General features: G+C 39.0%; 1 protein-coding gene across 8 annotated transcripts in view; it reads right to left on the bottom strand.

The window, feature by feature from the left end:
- The window catches only part of MAP2K5 (mitogen-activated protein kinase kinase 5), a 264,412-nt gene that overhangs the window by 220,030 nt on the left and 18,323 nt on the right, over window positions 1–26,059 (bottom strand). For all 8 annotated transcript variants that reach the window (XR_007064474.1, NM_145160.3, NM_002757.4 and 5 more), the window contains exons 3-6: window positions 23,735–23,802; window positions 6,262–6,331; window positions 1,155–1,195; window positions 172–239 (exon numbers count right to left, since the gene is read on the bottom strand). Coding sequence is in view for 7 of the 8 variants with exons in the window: in NM_145160.3 (NP_660143.1) it covers window positions 172–239; window positions 1,155–1,195; window positions 6,262–6,331; window positions 23,735–23,802 (247 nt within the window). In the remaining variant the exon portion in view is untranslated. The remainder of the gene's footprint in view (window positions 1–171; window positions 240–1,154; window positions 1,196–6,261; window positions 6,332–23,734; window positions 23,803–26,059) is intronic.

Below are 26,059 nucleotides of genomic sequence, written 5' to 3'. Positions count from 1 at the left end.
AGCACCCAGTCTAAATCTAAACATTCATCTTTCCATATGAGGTCCTTTCTCTTTGGTCAATACGTAGCTAGGTTATCTAACTGGTCAAATTTCTTTCTAGCTTCTTCCCCACCCCACCCCAACTCTGTAGATAAATCACATCAAGGGCACACTTTACTTGCTCGCTCGCACCTATTGCTTGGAAGTGAATCTGAGACTGCTGGGCTGCTGTGTTGAGAGGGTCCGGCCCGAGTATTCACCTATAAGTAAAGAAAGAATCTTGATCAGTCTTGTGTTCTGAGGACACAGTTCTAATTAACCTATAATTTGCCACAAATTTCTCATTTCACTATGAAGGTTAATTAGCTTGTTGCTAGACAAACCCACAGTTGGAGTCTATTCAGTATATAGGTTACAAAACCGTATAACCCATACATTACATAATATTCTATTCCTGTCATTATTCCATTAAATACTTAAACAGTGATGAAAAAGGAGACATAAACAGTGTGAAAATCCAACTCACTGTCTAGAATACATATAAAAACAGTATGTTCAAAAAGTACATTAAGAATATACCCAGGGGTTAGTAGTGAACCTCAAGTTATATCCTTCCAGCTCTGCAACCAAGCAGAACACTGTATGTAGAATGTTTCTTATTCACTAAAAAATGAGGTCCAAATAATTAATTATGAAATATTTGAGCCTAATACAAAAGCCAGCTTTTCTTTCAGATGTGAAGCCCTAAACAGAAATCCAGAATTCAAAATACACAGAATGAAAAGACATTAACTAGATATATGTTTCTAGCATAAATATGTCAAGAGAGGGTATTCCATGTGCAATATGCTTATGTGCTTAATTAATCACTGAAATGAAGTCTATATTCTTACTAAAATCTTTGTAGATACCAGCACCTAGGATTATCCTGAAGACACTGACCAACAAAACAATTCCAAATAATTGAAAATACAGTACCAAACCCCCAGTATGCAAATATATACACATACTGAGCAAATACTACAGATGAATCCCCCTCCACCTCCCATTTAAAAAAAATAAAAGGATCGCTTGTCAGAGCTTGAGAAAGTGCAGTTTTATTTGACATTTCAATAAGTGGAACACAGCATTACAAATCCATCTAACTTTACTGAAACAATTATTGAAATTCGTACCTTCAGGCCATGTATGTTCCGTTCCCCAGGAGGCTTGCAGGCTGAAACAGTAATTGACTAAATTGTAGAACACATCAGGGCCATTTACAAATTTGCTCAAAATGAATCGTTTAAAAAGAAATGAGGGTGACACCAAAATTAGCAGAGAGAAATGATTGAAAAGTGGCTCCCAAGACCCAAAGTGGGAATTATGAACCAGGGTTTTAACTTGCAGGAGTGAGCATTTATAAATGCAAAGAGCTTTCTGACACCACCTCATATAAATTCCAATTTCTGCTTAAAACATATAAAAATCAAGTTAACTGAGCTAAAATGATTAGATTCCTTTCATAATTCAAATTTCTGCAATCTGTCCTCATTCTATTACATTGTATATCTGCTATCACTTAAACTACTTTGAAAAGAGCTAAGGGATTTTTTTGTGAGCAAGCGGGGTGAGAAAAGGATGTTTTAATGCCAAAAAGATTGCTAGGGATTCTACGATGGAACATTCTAGTTTGAATACTACTTTGCACAGCCATAAGCAGTCAAATGTATTAAAATACAGATATATAACTAATTTTATTACATTTCTTGCAAATCTTGACATATGCTAAGATTTAGTCCTAGAGATAAGGCAGTGCCAGGAAAAAAGAATATTAATTTCCTGACACCATCTTGAGTTACAGGTTAGTACTTTTCCAATTCAGCAAATGCTTCTTCAACAAATGTTAAAAATACAAAAGCCTCCTGCCCATGTTATAGACTGCTTCTATTTGAAAACTATAGTGCCCTACAAATTGTATGTTAAGGGGCCATCAATTTTGATTGATTGTTTGGGGACGAATTAATTTGATTTTTTTTTTTTTTTTTTTGCTCCTCTCTCAGATGTACATGTCGTTTTCCTGTTTCTGACAACAAGAAATAGAGCTGTTTAATAATAAGATGTGGGTAATGACTGGGTGCAGTGGCTCAAGCCTGTAATCCCAGCACTTTGGGAGGCTGAGGTGGGCTGATCATGAGGTCAAGAGATCAAGACCAACCTGGCCAATATGGTGAAACGCTGTCTCTACCTAAAATACAAAAAATTAGCTGGGCATGGTGGCGGGCGCCTGTAGTCCCAGCTACTCGGGAGGCTGAGGCAGGAGAATGTCGTGAGGCAGGAGAATGTTGTGAACCCAGGAGGCAGAGCTTGCAGTGAGCTGAGATCACGCCACTGCACTCCAGCCTGGGCGACAGAGCGAGACTCTGTGTCAAAAAAAAAAAAAAAAAAAAAAAAGGAGAAGATATGGGTAATAATTACAAAACACTGCAGTTGCTTTCATTTTGTATATTCCAAATATACTCAAATTTATTATGTTATTTTTCCTAGAAAATATATCTAAACCATAACAAAATGTTTTTACTTGCCTTTCTAAAATGCATTAAAATTAAGACTCAAAATCTTCTTTCCTTAAAATGGAAATTAACCTTTTGAACTACAGTCACATGCATTTGACGTCTGGTCCTTGAGGGACCATCAATACTTCCTAAGACAACACTTCAAAATATTTCCACTGAAGTAAGCAGTGCATTCATAAATTTCATTTAAACAAAGTGGCTAGCCAAGGAATCAGAGACAAACATCAACTCTTATCTCTAACCTTAACATCTGCCTCACTCCTCAATTGACTTCTCAAACTTTTATAACTGGAGATGTAAACAGCAGTCAAAAAACCCAGTAACCTCATATTTCCTAAAGTTATCGGGTCAGGAATTACTATAAAGCTAGTCAATGTTCACACTTATTAATATTTAACATATCTTTTAACAATGTAGAGGACTTAGCCATGACCTGGGAGTTACTATCCAAGGCAACTGTGCTACTTGGAATGAGGAGAACATGTTATTACATCAGAATTATGGCCAGGCATGGTGGCTCATGCCTTTCATCCCAGCACTTGGAGAAGTGGTGGTGGGAGGATTGCTTGAGCTCAGGAGTTTGACACCAGCCTGGGCAACACTGTGATACCTTGTCGCTATTAAAAAATTAAAAAAAAATGCCCAGCGTGGTGGCACATGCCTGTAGCCCCAGCTACTCAGGAGCTGAGGCGAGAGAACTGCTCCAGCCTGGGGACATAAAGGCTGCAGTGAGCACACACTGCACTCCAGCCTGGGTGATAGAGTGAGACTCTGTCTCCAAAATAAATAAATAAATAAATAAATAAGGAAACAATCATTTTCTCCTATCCTTCCTACTTGTTCAGTCTAAAGATTCTTTTTAACATGGGGCCTAACCATAAAATTTAAGATCTGAGGGCCTCTAACCAACTAGGTAGACACAGGAAATATACCCAGTATGTCTACATGTCGATTATGTAAATTTGCATAATTTCACTTATCTACATATGATAAAATGTACATTCGATGTAGACAGGTAGCAAAAAGCAAAAGACTACCAAAAACTAGAAACAATTACACCATAGCATATTAAAAAAACACAGAAATAAAAAGACAGTCTCATATTCTGAAATATTTAAATTTGGCTTAGAAAGACTATGTTTAACAATTTATTGCAGCCTAGTGGGTTTTATGCTAAGACTACATATGACAATGACATCTCATATAATTTCCTCCTTTAAGTATCCTCTCCCCATAACATACTCCTCTCCACTCCAAAACAAGCCCTCCAAACTACTCCCATGCACACTCTAATTATATTTTAATATATATGCCTTTCCATTTTAATCATATTATAATTTAAATGAAATTCTTACTCAAAGGGCATAGTAAGCACTTATAAGCTGTGTGACTCTGAAGTTACTTAACCTCTCTGAATCTCAATATTCTCATCTATAAATTGGAAACAGTAATACCTAATAGGCAGAACTATCAGGAGGATTACAGATGATGATGCGTAAAGCAATATTAATGCCTTAACAGAGCAGACATCTAAAAATGGTTGTGATTATCATGGGAAGAAGCATAATGCGATGAACAGTGAGAATGACAGGACTGCTCACAAAAGGAAAGAAAACAAACAAAACTTGAAAGAATTTGGATGAAGATAACTAAAAAAAATTTTTTAGAGACAAATGAAGACCCACAACATTGGAAGTGTGTGTGTGTGTGTGTGTGTGTGTGTGTGTTTTGAGACAATGTATTGCTCTGTCACTCAGGCTGGAGTACAGTGGCACAAACATGGCTCACTGTAGCCTCAACCTCTTGGGCTCAAGCCATCCTCCCACCTCAGCCCACCAAGTAGCTGGGACAACAGGAGTGTGCACCACGCCCGGCTAATTTTTGTATTTTTTTGGTAGAGACAGGGTTTTGACATGTTGCCCAAGCTGGTCTCAAACTCTTGAGCTCAAGCAATCCACCTGCCTCAGCTTCCCAAAGTGCTGAGATTACAGGCATGAACCACTGTGCCCTGCCTGGAAGTATATTTCTCCAGGATACTGCAATTAGGGTTTTCTATGGCAGAGCTATAATGTCAATAGAGAAATTAATGGAAATTTTCAGTTTGTAAAATACTACTCCTTGTGAAGAAAGAATTTTGAAACTTGCCCAAATTCTCCAGTCACTGCAAACATTAAGAAATAATCTGCCTCCTGGCTGGGCGTGGTGGCTCACGCCTGTAATCCCAGCACTTTGGGAGGCCGAGGGGAGTGGATCATGAGGTCAGGAGATCAAGACCATCCTGGCCAACATGGTAAAACCCTGTCTCTGCTAAAAATACAAAAATTAGCTGGGTGTGGTGACACGAGCCTGTAATCCCAGCTACTCAGGAGGCTGAGGCAGGAGAATCACTTGAACCAGGGAGTCAGAGGTTGCGGTGAGCTGAGATTGCACCACTGCACTCCAGCCTGGTGGCAGAGCGAGACTCTGTCTCGAAAAAAAAAAAAAAAAAAAAGAAATCATCTACATCCTAATCATTGGACTAATAAACAGAAATAGCAACATTTCTTTTTTTCTGTTTTGGTGCTTAATCTTCAAGTACAACAGAAGTGGATTAATCACAATCCTTGTTTTGGACTATCACTGGCCTTAAATAGCCCAACTGTACTTACTTAGCACTTCAATAAGTTACTAGTAATATACTAAGCACTCCTGATTCTGCTGCCCACACATATGCTGGAAGAGCAGTATTATTCTTGAACCCAGATCTTCTTGTGGGTTGGCCAAGACAGCTGCCTTTGGAGACTTTATCAGTGCAAATAGGAGCCTACTGGTTAATTGAGCCATTCAAACTTCAGAGAGTTACAGGTAATGAAAGTCTAGAATGTTTAATTGGAAAACTCATACCATGATTATTTGTACAGTATCAGTTAACGAAGGTAAGTTTAACTTTTAATTATTTCAATTAAGTTATTTCTAGAAGGGTTACTTAGAGAATTTCCTTATCTGTTCCATTAGTTAGAAAACATGGATTCCAAGTGGGGCAATGTATAACGGGTGAAAGACTTAATGGTTTATATAATTAAACTGTTCTTGTTCACCATTATTCAAATTTTGAGGGAACATTTATACACGGTTGAACAATCATATCTGATACAAGGATAGTACTGCCAAACCTAAAAGGGAAAAAGAAAATTATCTGACCAAGTGATTCACTGAAACTTACTCTCATCAGCTCATATTTTTGGAGATAATCAAATTTCCATTTATGAAGAATTTCAATTATTTAGAAAATACCTCCTCAAAAAACCAGATACCAAACATTCCACCAAAATTTCTCTCCTAACACCTCAGTAAATCTTCGCTTCTGTGCTAACTGAAAGCTTTCTCCTCAATAGCAGCTTTGGCCACCATCATGAGCCACAATTTATAAATATCCAGAATTAAAGTCATTCATTTGCCTTGCTTTAGAAACCATGTGGACCCCCAAAAGAGTTCTTTAAGCTAATGTAAGTATGTACTTCAAAAACAAAAAACAATCTAGTTAGTTTAATTTACTCTAGTAAATTAGATATTTTATCTGCCATAACTATAATATAGCCTGCAATCCCCACGATAATGAATACTTCTTTTGTTTTTCGAATTAAGAGCTAAACATCATGTTATGTGCATTTAAACCTTTGGAAACATAACTGTTGATGAAACAGTTTACTGAAATAATCATTGTTGATTAGAATTTGCTCAACATTACCTCTTGGAAATATCTGCAGAGGCTCTATTAACTGTCCATTTACTTGCTGTTCCATTACTGTGGAATAATACTGCAAAGAGATTATAGAAAGAGATCACTCAGTAATGTATGAATACTGGAACAGACACTTATGGGTTGTTTAATTCACAGTACTTTTGTAAATTGCTGGTATATACATATCAGCCTTGAGAATACTTTTCCCCTACTGGCACATCAAAATGACTATAGTGAATATTTAGGATTGAAAGTCCAGTGTGTTAGCCTTCACCCTGGCATTTATCTTTAAGAGTAAAAGTGTTGATTAAGACTTTATATTAGTATTTAAGAAATATTTGAAAATGATATATATTTAGACGACACATAAAGCATTTTAGTGGAATTTCCCAAATTGCCTCTTGCTCTTTTTCCCTGGATTTTGCAAAGCAAAATGAAGAAGCTTCACATTGGGCTTGGACCTACATGCCAGTTAATCAAACATTATTCAATTTGTGTATAAAATGCACAGATAATGGAAATCGAAATCACAGAGACTGTGGAAATAGCAAACAAAATATGACCCATCCAAAGATGACAGGATTAACATGATAAAAAGGTAGCCTAGTTTCAAACAAACATACCTTTTATGCTTTAGCCTTATAAACACTTTAGTACGGATCAAATTGCACTGTAAAATTCTGCACACAAAAAATAAAGTTCTAAGTGAAAAAGCTTTCACACTCCTTAGTAAACACAAATTATTCAGTAGGTGGTACTGTGGTTTGATTACCACTCCGCTAATTTGTAAGCATATGTCCACCTAACTTGGAGATGGCTTCTGTGCTCTCACATCTTATAATGCTCGACAAATAACAAAGTGATGCTCCTAGTGGAAAAATATCCACAATGAAAACTGCTGATTTTATGTTTTGAGGGGCTGTCAAAGAGCAGAACATCCTTTTCATCCTCACTGTTTCTATATTAAAAACATGTGCATATTATTTAAATACGATATGTTTAGGAAATCCCTCCTTGATTACTATTGTTTGCTGACATTCTTTAAAAGTTTTTTTTTAGAAGATATCACATATATCTTCCTATTGCTTTTATGTACATTAAAATTATTACAAGAGCAAGGGTTTTTTTTTTCCTCTTGAAAATAAAGGGGAGCTATAAAATGCCACATCATTTTGGGAATCACAAGTTAATACATCTAAGGCTGTTCGCACTAATAACAAATAAAGTGAAGGTGGATGTTGGATAGCTACACACTGATAAAAGTGTACCCAGCTCTCCAAAGGGTTTCAAACTGTAAAGAAAGTGATTCTCTCCTTCTACAGACATAAAAACTTATATACATACGGCATAAACATGTGAAACACTCTCTGGAATACATACTAAGGCAAATGTCTTTCAGGAGATTCTGTTCCTTAAAACCACAGAAATACAGCACTCGCCATTACTCAAACAGTGATGACAAGTAAATGAAATATCAATCATGTAGGCTGTCAACCTTTTGGGACAGCAATAACTGTTAACAAGTAGTCTGGAAAAATTGTCCGAAAATGACTTGTCCTCGGCACACAAGTATTTGAGGTTTCCATGGAAAATTAAGATGCCAGTGGCTATTTGGAACATTGCTCAGGTATTCTTTTTAATGGGAAATTTGCCGGTTATTGATCCACAGCATGTACCCCCTTGCTTCTGGAAGGCTGCAAGCAACTTTCCAATCAGTGGCTGTCAAAAAAATTACTGCCTTTTTGTACTGATACAAGACAACAGCAGTGGTGGTGTTCTCCTATAGTTAATGCTTTTCTTTAATTAACTGCTATGTACAATAGGCTAGTAATTTCAGTTACTACTTTGCCATTATCCTAGAAATAAAGACAAATAAAATATCCTTATGCTTTATCTAACAAGTTAATTATAGAGATGTCTAAAACTGGTGCTTGGGGTCAAGTTTGAAAACAAATAACCTCAAATGTAAAGGGTCAGAACAGGTGCAATGCTTTTTTTTCCTACTATAAAACCTCGCATGCATGAAATTGACCTGTTTTCCAGCTTTATTTATTTACCTCACAGAATAAATAAATAAAAATGGTTTTCCTTTCATTTTAGGTCTGTGCCAAATCAACTGGCAAACTATATACACTTTTATAATCATTGTGAGAATTTTTAAGCCATCTATAAACATCTCTCTGTACTACGACTAACACAGTCACAGTAATGATATCAAGTATGCCACTTAACAGTTTCTCTAAAGCGAGTAGTTAGGTTGTGTTTTTTGTTTTTTATATTTCCTCTAAATCCAAGTATATTTTCTCCTGCTGGACTACTGCATTTGATCTGTGTCTGTATTAATAGAGAAGCTTATGTTCCACATAGCAAAGTAATTCACCATCAAGGACATGCTGTAAAGGGAGGTAATCAAAACCACAGTGTGGGCCCTACACAACTGGCCCCTGAGGAACAGCCACCAACAAGGCACTAGGCCTAGAAACTCAGGCTACTGCCTACGGAGCATTCCCCATGGGATAAGGATAAAATGCAGGGCCATGCATGGTACCTCTTAGCACAGAGCAGTCCTGACCGGCCACCAGGTCCATGCTGCTCAGTGAGATGAGCAAGGCACATGAATGAATCAGAGGGCTCAAACCCAGGAGCTCCATCACTAACTGTTGTCTCCAAGCATGTGACCTCCATGACAAAATGCTCACTGTGCCTCATGTTACTCATTTGTAAAATCAAGACGGGCTCTACCCAGAGGATAGCTGTGAGGCTCACATGGGAAAACAGAGAAGACAGCAAGTAATAAACTGCAAAACAAATTGGGGTTTTCTTTTTTTTTGAGACAGAGTCTTGCTCTGTCACCCAGGCTAGAGTACAGTGGCACAATCTTGGCCCACTGCAACCTACACCTCCCAGGTTCAAGCAATTCTCCTGCCTCAGCCTCCCAAGTAGCTGGGATTACAGGCACCCACCACTGGCCCGGCTAATTTTTGTATTTTTAGTAGAGATGGGGTTTCACCATGTTGGCCAGGCTGGTCTCAAACTCCTGACCTCAGGTGATCCACCTGCCTTGGCCTCCCAAAGTGCTGGGATTACAGGCGTGAGCCACTGCACACGGCCAGCAAATTGTTTTTAGATCTGGATCTATTAGTGTCATTTCTATATACTCTTCCTTTAAAGGGATTCTCTCCAATTTTGTTCTAAATAGTGATAAAATAAGCAGAAATGACCAAAACCAAAAGAAAAGAAAAAAACAAAGAAACAAACAGCAACGACCAAAAAAACACCCCTAAACTTTGTACACTAAGATACTGAACATAATAGCTTGGACAGAAATGTAACAAAGTAACCTTCATAATATTACTTCAAGTTATCCAAATAACTTCATCTTCAGGTCTATAATCTTATCCTGGCATTTATTAGCCCTAACACAAAGCTCTGCACATAGTAGGTGTTTAATAAACATTTACTGATTGAAATGGGGTTGAATTCTAAGTCTGCCACTCATTAACTTGTGTAGCCTTCAGGAAGACATTTAACTTTATTAAACATCAGTTTCCTCCAAATGAGCATAAAAATATTTACCCTAATATATAGGGTTACTGGCCGGGCACGGTGGCTCACGCCTGTAATCCCAGCACTTTGGGAGGCCGAGGCGGGTGGATCATGAGGTCAGGAGATCGAGACCATCCCGGCTAACAAGGTGAAACCCCGTCTCTACTAAAAATACAAAAAATTAGCCGGGCACGGTGGCGGGCGCCTGTAGTCCCAGCTACTCGGGAGGCTGAGGCAGGAGAATGGCGTGAACCCGGGAAGCGGAGCTTGCAGTGAGCCGAGATTGCGCCACTGCAGTCCGCAGTCCGGCCTGGGCGACAGAGCGAGACTCCGTCTCAAAAAAAAAAAAAAAAAATATATATATAGGGTTACTGTGAGGCTCAAAAATTAAACTGCAGCAATAAAATTAGTGAAGGCACTTGGTAAACTGTAATGCATTATTAGTTAAGAAATTTAAAAGTACACCTCCTCATATTGAAACAATATTAAGCAAACTTTCTATCTTAGAAGTGTTGCAGCATTTAAAAATGCAGAAATAATTATATAGAGTATGAAATATTGTGTCCAAACTGAATACATCAGCAGCAATTATAAAATATGTTTTCTCCTGTTACCCCTTGCATAATCCGTTACATGCAGTAACTGCAGCGATAATCAATAAGCTAACTGGGTAAAAGATCAATCAGCTTTGCAATTGCTAATGGAATCTCCAGTACTAGACTCAGATTAGTTTCAGAGTCCCTCTGAGCTGTTCTTCAAAATTCTTCAGTCATTTTAATAAGGATGTGACAAAGTTTAGCATAGTTACCAAAAATCTAATTAATTTGAAACAGAGGGCCAGATTCAACAAGGGGATAACAAGTACAATTTTTTGCTTTGTTTTGTTTGCAAGTTTACTACAGTGTTCATATTTGTTATAAATCTAATTCTAATGCTAATGGCACAATTCAATCAATAATTACATTTTTTTCTTCATGGAAATCTGCCATATTTTTTAAAAAACTTGAGTTCCAAAACAGCACAGTTTAAGTTTATGAGGCACAAATTTTCTATTAAGAAAGAGAGAAGGATGGAAGCAGTGGCTCATGCCTGTAATCCCAGCACTTTGGAAGGCCAAGGCAGGCAGATCACCTGAGATCAGGAGTTCAAGACCAGCCTGGCCAACATGGTTAAATCCTGTCTCTACTAAAAATATAAAAATTAGCCAGGCGTGGTGGTGTGCACCTGTAATCCCAGCTACTCAGGAGGCTGAGACAGAATTGCTTGAACCCAGGAGGCAGAGGTTGCAGTGAGCCGAGATCGTGCCATTGCACTCCAGCCTGGGCGACACAGCAAGACTCCATCTTAAAAAAAAAAAAAAAAAAAAAGAAAGAAAGAAAGAAAGAAAAAAAGAAGAGAAAACAGAGACAGAGATAGAGAGATAGAGATAGAGGGAGAGAACTAACCCTCACTCATTGGATACCTATGTGTGTTAGGCTCAGCACTACATATCTACATTTATTCACTTAGTTTTTTACAATCCTATCCTATTCTATAAGTATCATCACCTCTATTTAACAGATGAAGCAAATGGTTTATCAGTAAACAAACAAACAAAAAAATTACTCCTTTCATTCTAGGCCATGCCATGCACTCAGGGCATAAAACGTATATTTATTGCTTACAAGTTAAGAAGTAGGTTATCTCATATTTCTCATACCTCAAAACATTTACCTAAATAGGTAGGGTTACCTGGTAGACTGCTGAGCTGGTGGAGAGCTGTGGCTTCGCTCACACCCTGTGCAGGTTAGGTTATATCCTCTGATCTTTCAGAGGCTGGCGAAGCAGTGTGAAGACATCTGTGCTGATGGGTGACCTAGGTGACCTCTGGCTCTTTCTTTGGCAACAACCACTCCCCCACTGCCCTCCCCCGCCCCGCCACCTCCATGGGTTTTCCTACTTCTCCAACCACTCCATTCGGTTTCCTGTAAGTGGTTATTACCCCATCTCTCCTTTAAATGCAGGATTTCCCCCACTGTTTTTCATTAGCCTTCTCATTTTACACTCTCCTTGAGTTACTTTAGCCACTTCAAAGTTTCAACTACCAGAGGAATCACTGAGACTAATTAGGAGCTGATGAATCACAAATCTTTATTTCCAGCCCAGATTTCTCTCCTAAGTTCTGAAACATAACCAGTTGATTGTGCAGAGCCTCCTCCAATTCAACAGGTCCAAAACTGATTTCCTCTCCTATCCCCTATCAGACCCTAGACCTGTCTTCTGCTGCCTGGGTTTATGGTCTCAGGAAATACCATCACTATGACCCTGTTTCCCAAACCAGAAATCTGGAAGTAATCCAAACCATCTCTCTTCTCTTCTCCCCCGTATTTAACCACTAAATTTTATTTTATTTTGTTTTATTTTTATTATTATTTTTTGAGATGGAGTCTCACTCTGTCGCCCAGGCTGGAGTGCAGCGGTACGATCTCGGCTCAGTGCAACATCCGCCTCCCAGGTTCAAATGATTCTCCTGTCTCAGCCTCCTGAGTAGCTGGGACTACAGGCGCCCGACACCACGCCCAGCTAATTTTTGTATTTTTAGTAGAGACGGGGTTTCCCCATGTTGGCCAGAATGGTCTCGATCTCTTTACTTCGTGATTCGCCCACCTCGGCCTCCCAAAGTGCTGGGATTACAGATGTGAGCCACAGCACCTGGCCTTATTTTGTTTTTTTGAGATGGAGTCTTGCTCTGTCACCCAGGCTGGAGTGCAATGGTGCGATCCTGGCTCAATACAACTTCCGCCTCCTGGGTTCAAGTGATTCTCCTGCCTCAGCCTCCCGAGTAGCTGATACTACAGGCGCCCACCACCATGCCCAGCTAATTTTTGTATTTTTAGTAGAGATGGGGTTTCACCATGTTGGCCAAGCTGGTCTCAAACTCCTGACCTCACGTGATCCACCCACCTTGGCCTCCCAAAGTGCTGGGATTACAGGCATGAACCACTATGCCCAGCCTACTAAATTTTATTAACTTGACATCCTCCCCACTTCTCAAATCTGTTAACTTCTCACCAGTCCAGTGACCACCATTGTCTTTCACAAGGAACAGCCCCCTAAGTGGCTTCCACGCTTCATAAATTCTCTACCCCAAGCCACTCTTGAGAAATACTGTTATCAGAAAGGGATCCTTATCCATACCCCAAGAGATGGTTCTTGGATGTCGTGCCAGAAAGAATTTGGGGTAATTCTACAGAGTAAAGTGAAAGCAAGTTTATTAAGAAAGTAAAGGAATAAAAGAATGGCTCCACCAATAAACCCAGTCAGAGCTGGGTGTTCCCAAAAGCAAGAGGAGGAACACATCTACCTTATGTACAATGTTTGTTTATATGTAAAATAACAAAGCAAAAAACCATATGGAGGAGATGCGCTGCACTACAAGGCTGGTGACACAGGATTATTCATCTTTGTGTAACTACTGTCTTCCACAAGAAGATATTATTATTTAAAGATATTATCTTTAAAGCAAAACTCAGAATGCTTTTGTTCTTAAGATATCAGGACATCAGGACATTTCCTTGGTCTGTTAAGTCCTGAATCTGTTTGGTAAATGCTATTAACCTGTTCCCTTAACTCTAAACATCCTGTAACTAAGAATGCCTGACTTCCTGGGGCTGCGGCCCAGCAGGTCGCAGCCTCATTTTACCCAGCTTCTATTCAAGATGGAGTCTGATATGGTTTGGATTTGTGTACCCGCCCACAAATCTCATGTTTAATTGGAGGAGGGGTCCTGTGAGAGATGACTGGATCATGGGGGTGGATTTCCCCCTTGCTGTTCTCATGATAGTGAGTGGATTCTCACGAGATCTGATGGTTTAAAAGTGTGTGGCAACTCCCGCCCCACCCTCTACCCAACTGTCTCTCCTGCCACCCTGTGAAGAAAGTACTTGCTTCCCCTTTGTCTTCTGCCATGATTATAAGTTTCCTGAGGCCTCCCCAGCCATGCAGAACTGTGTCAATTAAACCTCTTTTCTTTATAAATTACCCAGTCTCAAATAGCTCTTTATAGCAATGTTGTTAGAGGCATTTGAACCAGAGCAACTCCATCTTGAGTGAGGGCTAGGAAAAATGAGGCTGGGACTTCCCGGGCTACATTCCCAGGAAGTTAGGTATTCCTAGGCTCTAGCTATTTATGATTAAGGGAACAGATTGATAACGTTTACTAAACATACCCAGGTTCAGGAATGTCCTGATACCCTAATATCTTGAAAACAGAAGCATTCCTAATTTTGCTTTAAACAAAATAATATCAGGCCAGGCACGGTGGCTCACGCCTGTAATCCCAGCACTTTGGCAGGCCGAGGCAGGCAGATCACAAGGTCAGGAGTTTGAGACCAGCCTGGCCAATACGTGAAAACCCGTCTCTACTAAAAATACAAAACTTAGCTGGGCGTGGTAGCAGGTGCCTGTAGTCCCAGCTACTCAGGAGGTTGAGGCAGGAGAATCACTTGAACCCGAGAGGTGAGTTTGCAGTGAGCCAAGATCGAACCACTGCACTCCAGCCTGGGCAACAGAGCAAGACTCCATCTCAAAAAAAAAAATAATAATAATAATATCAATTCTTGCAAAATATAGTAATTAAGAAAATGAATCCTTTATCACAAACCCTTGTAGCAGAGCACATCTCCCCATGATCCTTTTTTATCCTATACATAAACAAACATCATACGTAGGGTGGGCACATTCATCCTCCTACTTTCGGGAACGTCCTACTCTATGGAGTGAGTAGCTATTCTTTCACCACTTTACTTTCTTAATAAACTTACTTTCACTTTGCACTGTGGACTCACTCTGAATTCTTTCTTGCACAAGATCCAAGAACTCTCTCTTAGGGTCTGGATTGGGACCCCTTTCCGATAACAGTATGAAAACAGACTAACAGAGTTGCTATGGCTCAAATGCCTCTGACAATATGAGATATGATCATGTCACTTCCCTGGGCTAAGGCCCTCCATGGTCTAACCCACCTTCCTCCAAGCCCCATCTCCCACCCTCTCCCCCGTCACTGTCCATACAGACTGAATCACAGGCAGCTCCTACTGACTCACCAGGCATTCTTTAAACACACTGTTCTTTCTGCCCCAAACATCCTTCCTAGTCCCCTTGTCCTAACTTACTCCACCTGGACACTGCCCTCTTCAGGAAGCCTTTTTGGTCCCCAAAGCTAGATTAGACACTTCTTGTGCTCATGGAGCACCTAATGCTTAGGTGTATTATATCATTTATCACTCCGCTTGGTAATTATGAGTTTTTCTTGTCTTCCCACACTGAACTCTGTTTCCTTTTTTGTTAATCTCCCTGACTGGACCATGAGCTCCTGGAGGGCATGAACTGTACGCTCACTGCACCCCCACCACCTTGCATAGTGCTTGGCCAGAGAACTGCTATCCAATAAACATTTGCTGCATGAAAAACTGATTGGATGAATGAGGAAACAAACCAGCGAGTGAGTGACCTCAGGCCCCAGCTCTCTATTGACTAGCTGTGTGACCTCAAGAAAGGCACACAATTGTTTATGCCTCTGTATCCTCTGCTGTAAAAATGGGGAAAAAACCTGCCTTGCTGATCTTATAAAGATGTTAAGAAGATCAAAATTAAAGGAGCTGGTATATGGGAAACCTTCTTAAAAAGTACTTGAAAAAAAAAATCTTGAAATAGGAAATGGTGCCTTGAATCTCTCATTTCCAAGTAAGAGTACATAGAAGAAACATGTTCGCAACAATAGGGTGACACAGAAACCATAAAACAAGGCGACTGAGATATCTGGACAAAGTACAGTGGTAGAATTTAACTGGTTTATTGAGGTTGAGTCAGTATCCCCTCCCTTCCCCTCAATTACTACAGTACTATAAATAATAAAGTAAACAGGTATTGTGGGGAACACTGTTTCTCTTTTGGAAGCTCAACAAGGGCAGGAACCATGCCTTGTATATTTTATTTCCTCTTATGCCAGAGGTATTAACCTGGGATCTATATGGGCTTTAGGAGATCCTTGAAGCTGGTGAAATGCTGCATTATGTGAATTTTCTGGGGGAAAAAAATAAACAACTTCCTACAGATTTTCAAAAAGGACTATGCCTTCAAAAACCTGAGAAATCACTGCCATATAGTGCCTAGCACATTACAGACAGGGCACAAATGTTTACAGGAAGAATCCAGAGAGGAACTGATATAGACATAGTAACGACTCTCATTGGTCATACCTTCCAACTTATTCAGCAGCAAGTCTCACGTACAGAGGAGATACCAGGCCTACTTATTATTCTTCCATACATCTGTAACAGGAGAGTTTCTCAAATCTCTCCTTAGCATGCCTAACAGACAACATAATTGGTACAGTATTTCACTTATAAGGAATACTCATGCTGTTTTTTTCATACTAATGATAAAATTTTCAAATTCCTGTTGTCAATACTGCAAGCATACCCTATTATATGTAGCTCAGTCAGTAATTACAGCAATAATCAATAAACTAACCAACTATTTGCAGTCCATAGTTAATTTGTTAGTTTTCCCAGTGAAGAACTCAACAATCTTAACTCTATCAAATGGCTACAAATTCAATTATAACGCTACTCAGATGTGTCATTAGTTACACCTTCTTTCAATTATTTCTCATACTTTACATTAAGAGGCTTTTCCTTTATGATGCTGACCTCTCACAGAGCACACAACTGCCCCAGTGGTCAAAAATAACATATGAAGCCAATCTATTTTGAATATCAAATTAATAGCTACATTTACTTACCTGGCTTCAGGCTCTGACTCCTCAATAACTCATTGCTCCTGTCATGAGGAGACTACAATGTGTACAAGCTTTTCCTTAAAAGACTTGACCGAGGGTCCACATATGGTCACAGATTGATTAGATGATGAGAAAGAAAATCACAATGTGAAGGTCAACAGGGACCAACTCTGGGCCCTATTTATAGGCTCATGTTATTGGACAGATGTATTTATTAATGACTTGAAAGTGAAAATGACAGCAAGTTGGCCAAGTTTAATGATAACACCATTTGGTTAAAACCATAAAGGACTTTAAGGAGCCCCAGATGGCCTTCATAGAAGTTTGGGCAGCCAATAGCAGATGAAATTCAAATTGGCTATGTTTAAGGTAATATGTGTTGGCAGAAGGAGTTTAAATTTGTATTCAGCAACAGGCCCAAAATTTATGGGATCCTCTCAGCTGAAACTTTCAGAGTTATTACCTTGGTTAGCTTGGGGTAGTGTCCACACTGACCTTTCACCTGATTTTTAGGCTGTAGCAATTCTGCTATTCCTCTTAAAGTAGAAGTTTTAATAGCAGCTTCAGGGAACCTGCCACTTAAATAAAACAGGACTATCAGGCCATGCAGACAGCAAGCCAAATGAGACATTTTGTTATAAATAGGCTAAGCGGAACCCTCCACAGAGATGGAACTGAACTGGGAGCAGAGCCATATAAATGACAAAATGTTGGTGGTCCAAACCTCCTATTCCAGTGGTCCCCAGAGTGCCCTGGTGCCACCAAGACTGAGGCCTACTCGTGCTTATCTTTTCCTTTGCTTCCAAGAGCCACATAATAAATCCCTCGTTCTGATGCAAACTTGAATATGCTTCTGCTCCTTGCTACCAAACAGGCTCCAACATAGATCACAACAGGGGCTAAAAGGGGTCACTACACTTTTATCACTATTTCAAAGGCATCCAAGTGTTCCAAACAGAGAAGAGAATTAAAATAATCTGTCTCTGGAAAAAAGTTTTCTTTTTTGACTAGGATAAGAAAACAAAACAAAAACCTTACTTACAGCTTGCAGCATGTCATTATTTGAGTAAATAAACAAATCCCCAAAACAATTTATTTCCTTCAGTTTCCCTTTCTCATTCTTTTCACCGTTTCTCCACCTTCTCTGAAGAATATACTGTGTAATCAGTTGTTTGGATAAATTGCATTGAATTAGGGGACTAACAACTCATTGAAAGCTGAACTGATTTTGCCACCTGCAAAGTTAAGTTCAAAGTAGAACCTATTTAATATGTGGCATATTTGAAAGCACCATGTGGAAAATGAGCTTCTAACCTCTTTGTTCTTTAAAGAAAACTTCCTAATAGCTAAGGCCCTGATGCTATTAAATATTCAACTTCTAAATGGACAATGAATTTGGTAAACAAGGTAAAACACAGCCTTGTAGGTAAGGACAAAACTTTTAAACCTTCAGACGCCCACAGAGTTTTGTTTTTTTTTTTTGTTTTTTTTTTTTTTGAGATGGAGTCTTGCTCTGTCGCCCAGGCTGGAGTGCAGTGGTGTGATCTCGGCTGACTGCAACCTCTGCCTCCCGGGTTCAAGCAATTCTCCTGCCTCAGCCTCCCGAGTAGCTGGGACTACAGGCGCATGCCACCACGCCCGGCTAATTTTTAGTATTTTTAGTAGAAATGGGGTTTCACAGTGTTAGTCAGGATGGTCACGATCTCTTGACCTCATGATCCGCCCGCCTCAGCCTCCCAAAGTGCTGGGATTACAGGAGTGAGCCACCGCGCCCAGCCAACAGAGTATTTTTTACATTTCTCTACAAACTCAAGTACAGTGACATTTTGGTAATAAGTATTATTTTTTACACTCAGGAAAAAGCAGTATTTGCAAAGCTGAGCAGGACTATAATAGAGAGCAAAACAAAAACCTTATTTAAAACAACCAGGAGCAAAGAGACTGAGAGTCTGTATCCAGGCCTTGCCTTTAATTAGCCATGTGACTTCCAACTGATATCTGAATCTTCTATTCTCTGTGGGCCTCAATGTCCTTATTTGTAAAATGAAAGAGTTGAACAAAACCTCTGTGGTTACCTTCCAACTCTACTTGAGTAACTGCATGATTTTAGAGGCAATGTCCAAGTTATGTATATTAGGATAAAGCCAATCATATCCCAATTTATAAGGTGCTCCACAGGTCAAAAAGTATTTTTCCCTCATAGTACTCAACGTCTGACAGGGTACACTGTGGTCAAATACACCAAAGGGAATACTTACACTTCACTTAAATATAAGGACTCTTGTACTAAATATAATACAAGGTCTCATAATGGGAGGCACTACAGTAAAATGTATGCCATACTCTCCTGGCAATGTGGGAAAAAATGATATAAAGAGTGAGAATAGACAAAATGATGAAAATTATTTTTGTTAATACTGTGTTCTACTCACACAAGCCTCTCAATATTAAGAGAACCAGGTGTAATAAATCCCTAGACACAGGATTTAGCAGAAACAAATATAAATCTACTTACAAAAGCAAGATGTATTGGCTGAATTTCTTAATGAAAGGTCACCCAAAAGAAGAGGTTAACAGTAAAATAATCCCCTCCTAGAACTGGGCCTCCATAGAACTACCAGACAACAAACACAAAAAAATGGAAGGAAAAAAGCAGCACGCTATTTTCAATCTTTCTAGAAAATGAGAGGAGGAAATGAGAACAACAACAACAAAATTTAAACTACATTAAGGGAATATTTAATTAGCAATGATCAGGTATTTAGTTTTCAGAATATGTAGGTTGTGTGTATTTTTTTTCTAATAAAGCATTTCAAATTCTAATTAAAAAAATACTTTAGGCCGGGCGCGGTGGCTCACGCCTGTAATCTCAGCACTTTGGGAGGCCGAGGCGGGTGGATCATGAGGTCAGGAGATCGAGACCATCCCGGCTAACAAGGTGAAACCCCATCTCTACTAAAAATACAAAAAATTAGCCGGGCGCGGTGGCGGGCGCCTGTAGTCCCAGCTACTCGGGAGGCTGAGGCAGGAGAATGGCGTGAACCCGGGAAGCGGAGCTTGCAGTGAGCCGAGATTGCGCCACTGCAGTCCGCAGTCCGGCCTGGGCGACAGAGCGAGACTCTGTCTCAAAAAAAAAAAAAAAAAAAACTTTATGGAGGAATTAAAAAGATGCAATAGTGTCAGAGGAAAAGCCGTGATCCCAGAAGTGGAATATTCTAACAACATAACTTACAAGAAACTATGCTATAAAAACAGATTGTTGATTAACACAAACTCATAACAAAATGCAGAGCAGCTATCACAATGGTGCTGTAATAACACTTGGCTGCTGAATTCTTTCAATACATTAAATATCTCCTTGGAGACCAAATTACTTTACATTTTCTTAAAAGACAATTTATTATAGCTTTGTTTTCTTCTCTTTATCTCTTAAAAATATCTCTAATGAAGAAAAGAATACAACTTCTAAATAACTTACATAAAATGGTACTAATGTGTGACAACAGACTTTGGTTTAATATGTTGGTTATTATTTAACAGCACACAACAACCTATTGTCATGACAAATCCTTACCATAATACAATATTCCACGTGTCACATGTATCAAAAACCACTGTATGCCATTATTATGGCACTCATAAAATTAACAGCCTCAGGCTGCTAGTGATTTAAATAATTGATAAGTTTTCAATTAAAAAGGCAACATTTTCAGGTCTAATACAAAAATCTATTTAAATTACTAATAAAAATGTACACTTGTACTGGCCCAAAGCCAGAAAATGCCTGCATCCAAGAGGGGGAAAAAGTAATTCTTCAAGTTTCAACTCAGAGGTTGCAAATTTGTTTTTATTCTTATGCAGAGATATAGGCTGTTTATTTACTTAACCTTTGTAATCAATGAAAAAGAATGATTAAAGGACTAATGGTAAAAGTGCCTCTATTTTTGCTTTCCCACATATGGCTTTTAAAGAAATACTAAGATGACCACAGGTGTACTGAATTCTATATGAAAAACTAAGCTCTTTTGGCCGGGTATGGTGGCTCATGCCTGTAATCCCAGCATTTTGGGAGGCCAAGGTGTGCGGATCACTTGAGATCAGGAGTTCGAGACCAGCCTGGCCAATATCGAGAAATCCCATCTCTACCAAAAAGTACAAAAATTAGCCGTGCGTGGTGGCGGGCACCTGTAATCCCAGCTACCCGGGAGGCTGAGGCATGAGAATCACTTGAACCCAGGAGGCGGAGGTTGCAGTGAGCCGAGATCAGGCTACTGCACTCCACCCTAGGCAACAGAATGAGACTTCATCTCAAAAACAAAACAAGACCAAAAACAAAAGAAAAAAACAGCTTTTTGCAAAAAACAATAAAAATGTGGTAATCTGTCAGTATCTTCCCTATGCCTTTATACGAAATCCTGGACTCAAACTTCAGAGCCAAATTGAACCTACAAAATAAAGACCAATGCAAATTTGTAGGAACATGCTGGTAATCATGAGGACTACCAATCAAAACCTACTGTAAGGTTACGTCCAAATGGTTCTCCTTAAATTTCAATCATAAGAACCAAGACAGATCAAAATGACAGCCAACCTGGCCAGGCACCTTGGCTCACGCCTGTAATTCCAGCACCTTGGGAGGCTGAGGCAGGAGGACCACTTGAGGCCAGGAGTTTGAGGCCAACCTGGGCAACAAAGCAAGACCCTATCTCTACAAAAAATTTTTTTAAATTATCTCATCAATGAGATAGATGACTTCTATTCAGATAAAAAAAAGTGGACCCAAGTAATCTCAGAAACTTTTAAACTAAGGACATGTAATGTAAGATTATGTAATCATATTTTCCTACAACACAAAAATAATTAAACACTGAATTTGAGAAAATAAGCATATGCTGTAAGGAATACATGGTGCAGAAATCACAACTAAGGTATTATATAAACCCAAATTATTCAGAATTTAATAATGATGATGACAGGCCGGGCACAGTGGCTCATGCCTGTAATCCCAGCACTTTGGGAGGCCGAGGCGGGTGGATCACGGGGTCAGGAGTTTGAGACCAGCCTGGCCAACATGATGAAACCCCGTCTCTACTAAAAATACAAAAATTAGCCAGGCATGGTGGTGGGTGCCTGTAATCCCAGCTACTCAGGAGGCTGAGGCAGGAGAATTGCTTAAACCCGGGAGACAGAGGTTGCAGTGAGCCAAGATGGCACCACTGCACTCCAGCCTCGGTGACAGAGCAAGACTCCATCTCGGAGAAAAAAAAATAAATAACAGTGATGACATAAAAAAAATCCTGCAAAGAGGAAGGTGGGGGAGAGACAGTGTAAAACAGTAAATGAGCAACAGCTTGGGCATGAAAAGAAACTGAACTTAAATTCCATATTCACATTCATACTAGCTCTAAGACCTTGGGCTTATCTCTTAACCACAGCTTCCTCATCTAAAAAATAAGGATGATAATATCTGTCTTACAGAGTGATTATTAAAACTAAAAAAATTAAATACCTCAAGCATTTTGTATATAGCAGTAACTTAGAAATGGAAATCATCATTATCACTGTGACCACACCCACTAACATTTTCAAAAAGCACAATTTGTAAGATCATACCCAAAAGTACATATCTTTTGCATGTGGTTAAGTTGAATACATAATGAAAGTATATTGATGTCAGTTCTCTGCAATGGACATATGTGAGAAAATTAGAACCCATCTGTGTGTGTGGGTTTTCTAAAAATAAGCATGTCACATTCTCAGGAGAGTTAGCCAATCTATCAATACCAGTGGTAGACCTTTTCAGCAGACAATCCTACTCTGCCTTTCAAGGTACTGATGAGCCCAGCTCTAAATTCTCAGTACACAAAGACTCTCACATAAGTTAATGCGAAGTCAATGGGAAATTGACTTTTCCTATTCTGTGCTGGTTGGAATGCAATGCTCTGTTAATCATCCTATCCTTCTTGTTCTCTATTCTCCTACCCTAAATTAAAACTATTGGCAGAAACCCATACAGACAGTTTACAGTTTTCATTACAATGAAACAATATCCTGGCTGAAGCTGAAGTCTATCAAAAACCTACAACCTAACTGTTGACTAAGATTAGGGTCTCAGTGAAAAGCAAGAGCCCTGATTCCATCATTTCCACATGATTCCAAATGATTCCATCATTTGCATTTGTATAGAACTTTTAACTTTTCAAAGGGCTTTCACATCTATTCTTCTATTTGATCATTACAATGGCCCTGTGCAGTATAAAGGACAAGTATTATTATCCACAATTGACAGATGAGGCAACTACAGCACTGAAAGGTTAAGTGATTTGCCTAGGGCCAAGAAACCACAGTAGAGCTAAGGTCTCCTGACTTCCAGTCCAATGCTCTTTCTACCAGGCCACGGGAAAAGGTTTTGTAAACAGATTACAGACTCAGATATAACAAAACAAAACTTGAGAGGAAGGCACAAATCAAGACTCAGGTAACCTATGTCTCCTCATGATAGCTGAATTTTTCAAGCTTAGTATTGAAGCTTTAGAAATATGCCCTTTTCTCTTGTTTACTTCAGTATCAGATAACTGTTAACGCAGATTTTCAGTAAAATTTTAAACACAAAAGAAAAGTCGTTTCAGAATATATTCAGATCACTTTGATTCAGTAAGTAGCCCTGTAGTTCATTTTCGGTGGGAGTATTATGGGTAGTGCATAAATAACCAACAGTACATCTTTAAATCGTGTATCCATATTAAGCCTGCAGCTACATTGTAAACTATAGTCTGGAAGGGTGAGAGAGATCTCCAGTTGAAAGTAGATTTTGAAAAATTTTTTAGAGCCCAGGGGTTCATTTTTAATGAGCCGTTACTTTAAGTACTGCATAAAAAATACAGGAAATTGATAGTCCATTTAGTCTGCATCATACCTAATGCAAAAGTCATTAAGATGCATTATTCTTAATGTTTATGATATGATCAGTAAGTGTCTTTTGAAAATAATGCCCTTAACTTTCACATACGGAAATCCTTGAAACCTTTACCTATTATATAGAAAAATGTATGACAACTGTGATTTATTTACTCGTCTTCACTATGCCCAAGAAACAGCATCCTCAATCACGTTAAGATTTTAAAAAATAGTCTTCATTTGTCGTATACTTACATATGACAGCATTGCCTTCATTTCCTCATCACTTCTCACTGTAATTCGATCACCATCTTCATCTTCATCTGTTTAAAAGCACATAATGCAAATGATAAGGTGTGCATTTGTTTAATGCACAAAGGGAACATAATATAAACGGTTTATTACAATGTGATATTCTAACCCTCAACACCACATTTTGGGGGTATGTTGACATTATTAGTTTGTTGTTTTGTTTTCCATTTGGAATATGATCAGAATCTCAATATAAAACTTTCTTTTAGGGATAGCAGAAAATTAAAATATTGCTCATGTCATTCACAACATATCTCTAGGTTAAAGTAAATATAACTGGAGTATGACAAAACAGGTTTGGTTAGCGGAACTAAAAACCAACGAGAGGCCAGTCTTGTTCTACTATCCACACTTTTTAAATCTCCCAAACAGCACCATACCCCGATTTCTCCATTCTTCCTCTCTCCCAGGCAATCTATCATCTCACAACAGCATGATAAAAATGGCTAACACTTACTGAACACTACAATACATGAGGCACTGTGATCTATGCTTCATATGCAATACCTCCTTGAAAACCTCATAACAAACCTGCGACATGAACATCATTATTATTATTCTCTTTCCACAGGAGAACCTAGGCCTAGTGCAAGGTTAACTTGTAAAGCAGCTCTAATACAGGTCTCCCCCATTCTATTTAGCAGCTCTTTTTCCGAACAGTTTCACTTGTTTTGCATACTCTCCAGCCATAGAAAGCTTCAAATGCTATTCATGCTATTTTGAAATAATTTAAGTCTTAAGGCTGGAGGACAAGACTTCACAAACTACATAACCAGAATGTGTAAATTTGAGTAAGTATCATCAGAGGCCACATCTAGAAATAATGTATTTATTTCATGATACTTCTCTTATTCAAAGTAGTTTTTGAAATATCTCTTCAAAACTGCTTTAAAAACCTGAAGATAGACTATGTGAGAATATTAAATCTCATTTTTAACCCAAAATGAAATTGTTGGCCTGATCACTTACCCACATCATCTGCCAAGCATGTCTAAGAATGACTTATGGCTATTTCCAAATATATAGTTAACTCTTCATCCTTCTATAAAGATTTGTCAACAGTGAGGACAGCCTATGTAGTAGACTGTAAATGCACAGTTGAAAGAAATGCCAAAAACGTCTGGAGCAACGTACAGAGCCTCCCAAGGGGACAACTTGGAAGGGGCAGGCTCTCAGCAGGATGCCTCAGTTCTGGTGTTAACAATCGGAATTATTATTTTTGTTCACTCTTGGGCATATAATTGCTGATTTGATCATATAGAAAGACTGTTCTGATCCCAAGCCTGGAGAACCTCAGACAAATCTCTCATCATGAAGAGAATAAGCTTGCCCAACATGGTCAGGGGATGCTTACTGAAAGTACAGAGGGAGTTCAGTTCAACACAGGGATCTTCCCCTACCACAAGTCAGTGGGTCTTCCCTCCTGTCTGGCTGTAGTTCCAAGGATATCCCCCTGCTTGGTGACTAGGCTATGGGGACCCTAGGAGGAAGCTTGTGTTCTTTCACAATTAGCCTAATTTCAAGCAAAATACTTTCTCCCTTTATCTCTTCAGTGGCCAACAGCAATCTGATAGCATGATCGAAACCAGCACTTGGACCAGTCCTGTTCAGTGACCCATAGCTCTCACTCTTTCCAAGCACTTGTTTTCTTTCCAAGCACTTGTTTCTGGATCCTGGTTCACTGCTGCAGAGTTCCCCAACTCAGTGTGAATCGGTATCATCAAGATCACACTGTCTAAATCTAGGAGAGTCACTACCAGTATTCTGCTATCAAGAGTTGCCTGTTTTCAGAGTAAAAGGCATACACTGGTCACTTGCAGTAATGAAGAAGGCACAGTCCTGAGAGATGTTACACACATAAAGATTCTTTCATTCGCTTTAGATATAGAATCTCTAGAGCCAAATTGGGGGAGAAATGCCATTCCAGCTGTAGAGAGAGAAGAAAGGAGTCTGTCTATATATAAGTTCTAGAAACTAATATTTTCAAGGTTAAGGCGAAAGTTTTCTTAAAAATGCAGGAGACAGGAAAAAACAAAGTACAAATGATGTAATGTTACATATCACCACACATGAAAGCACTTTACATTTTTGCTTTAAAACCAGGTCAAATTCTCTTTAAATGTAGGCTAAACTGATTTGTTCTTTATGAAGTTCTGAACTTGGCATAAAAACAAATTCCAGCCTGAATAAAGTAGTTTTTTTAAAATAAATCTCATTTCTGCAACTAAGCTAGCTATAGAGATTATGGTTAAAAAGAGACTGCTTATA

The sequence above is a fragment of the Homo sapiens genome, chromosome 15, assembly GCF_000001405.40.
Source record: "Homo sapiens chromosome 15, GRCh38.p14 Primary Assembly".
NCBI classification, from domain to species: Eukaryota; Metazoa; Chordata; class Mammalia; order Primates; family Hominidae; genus Homo; species Homo sapiens.
Note: the sequence above shows the minus strand (reverse complement) of the source record. Positions and strands in the feature narration are given on the sequence as shown.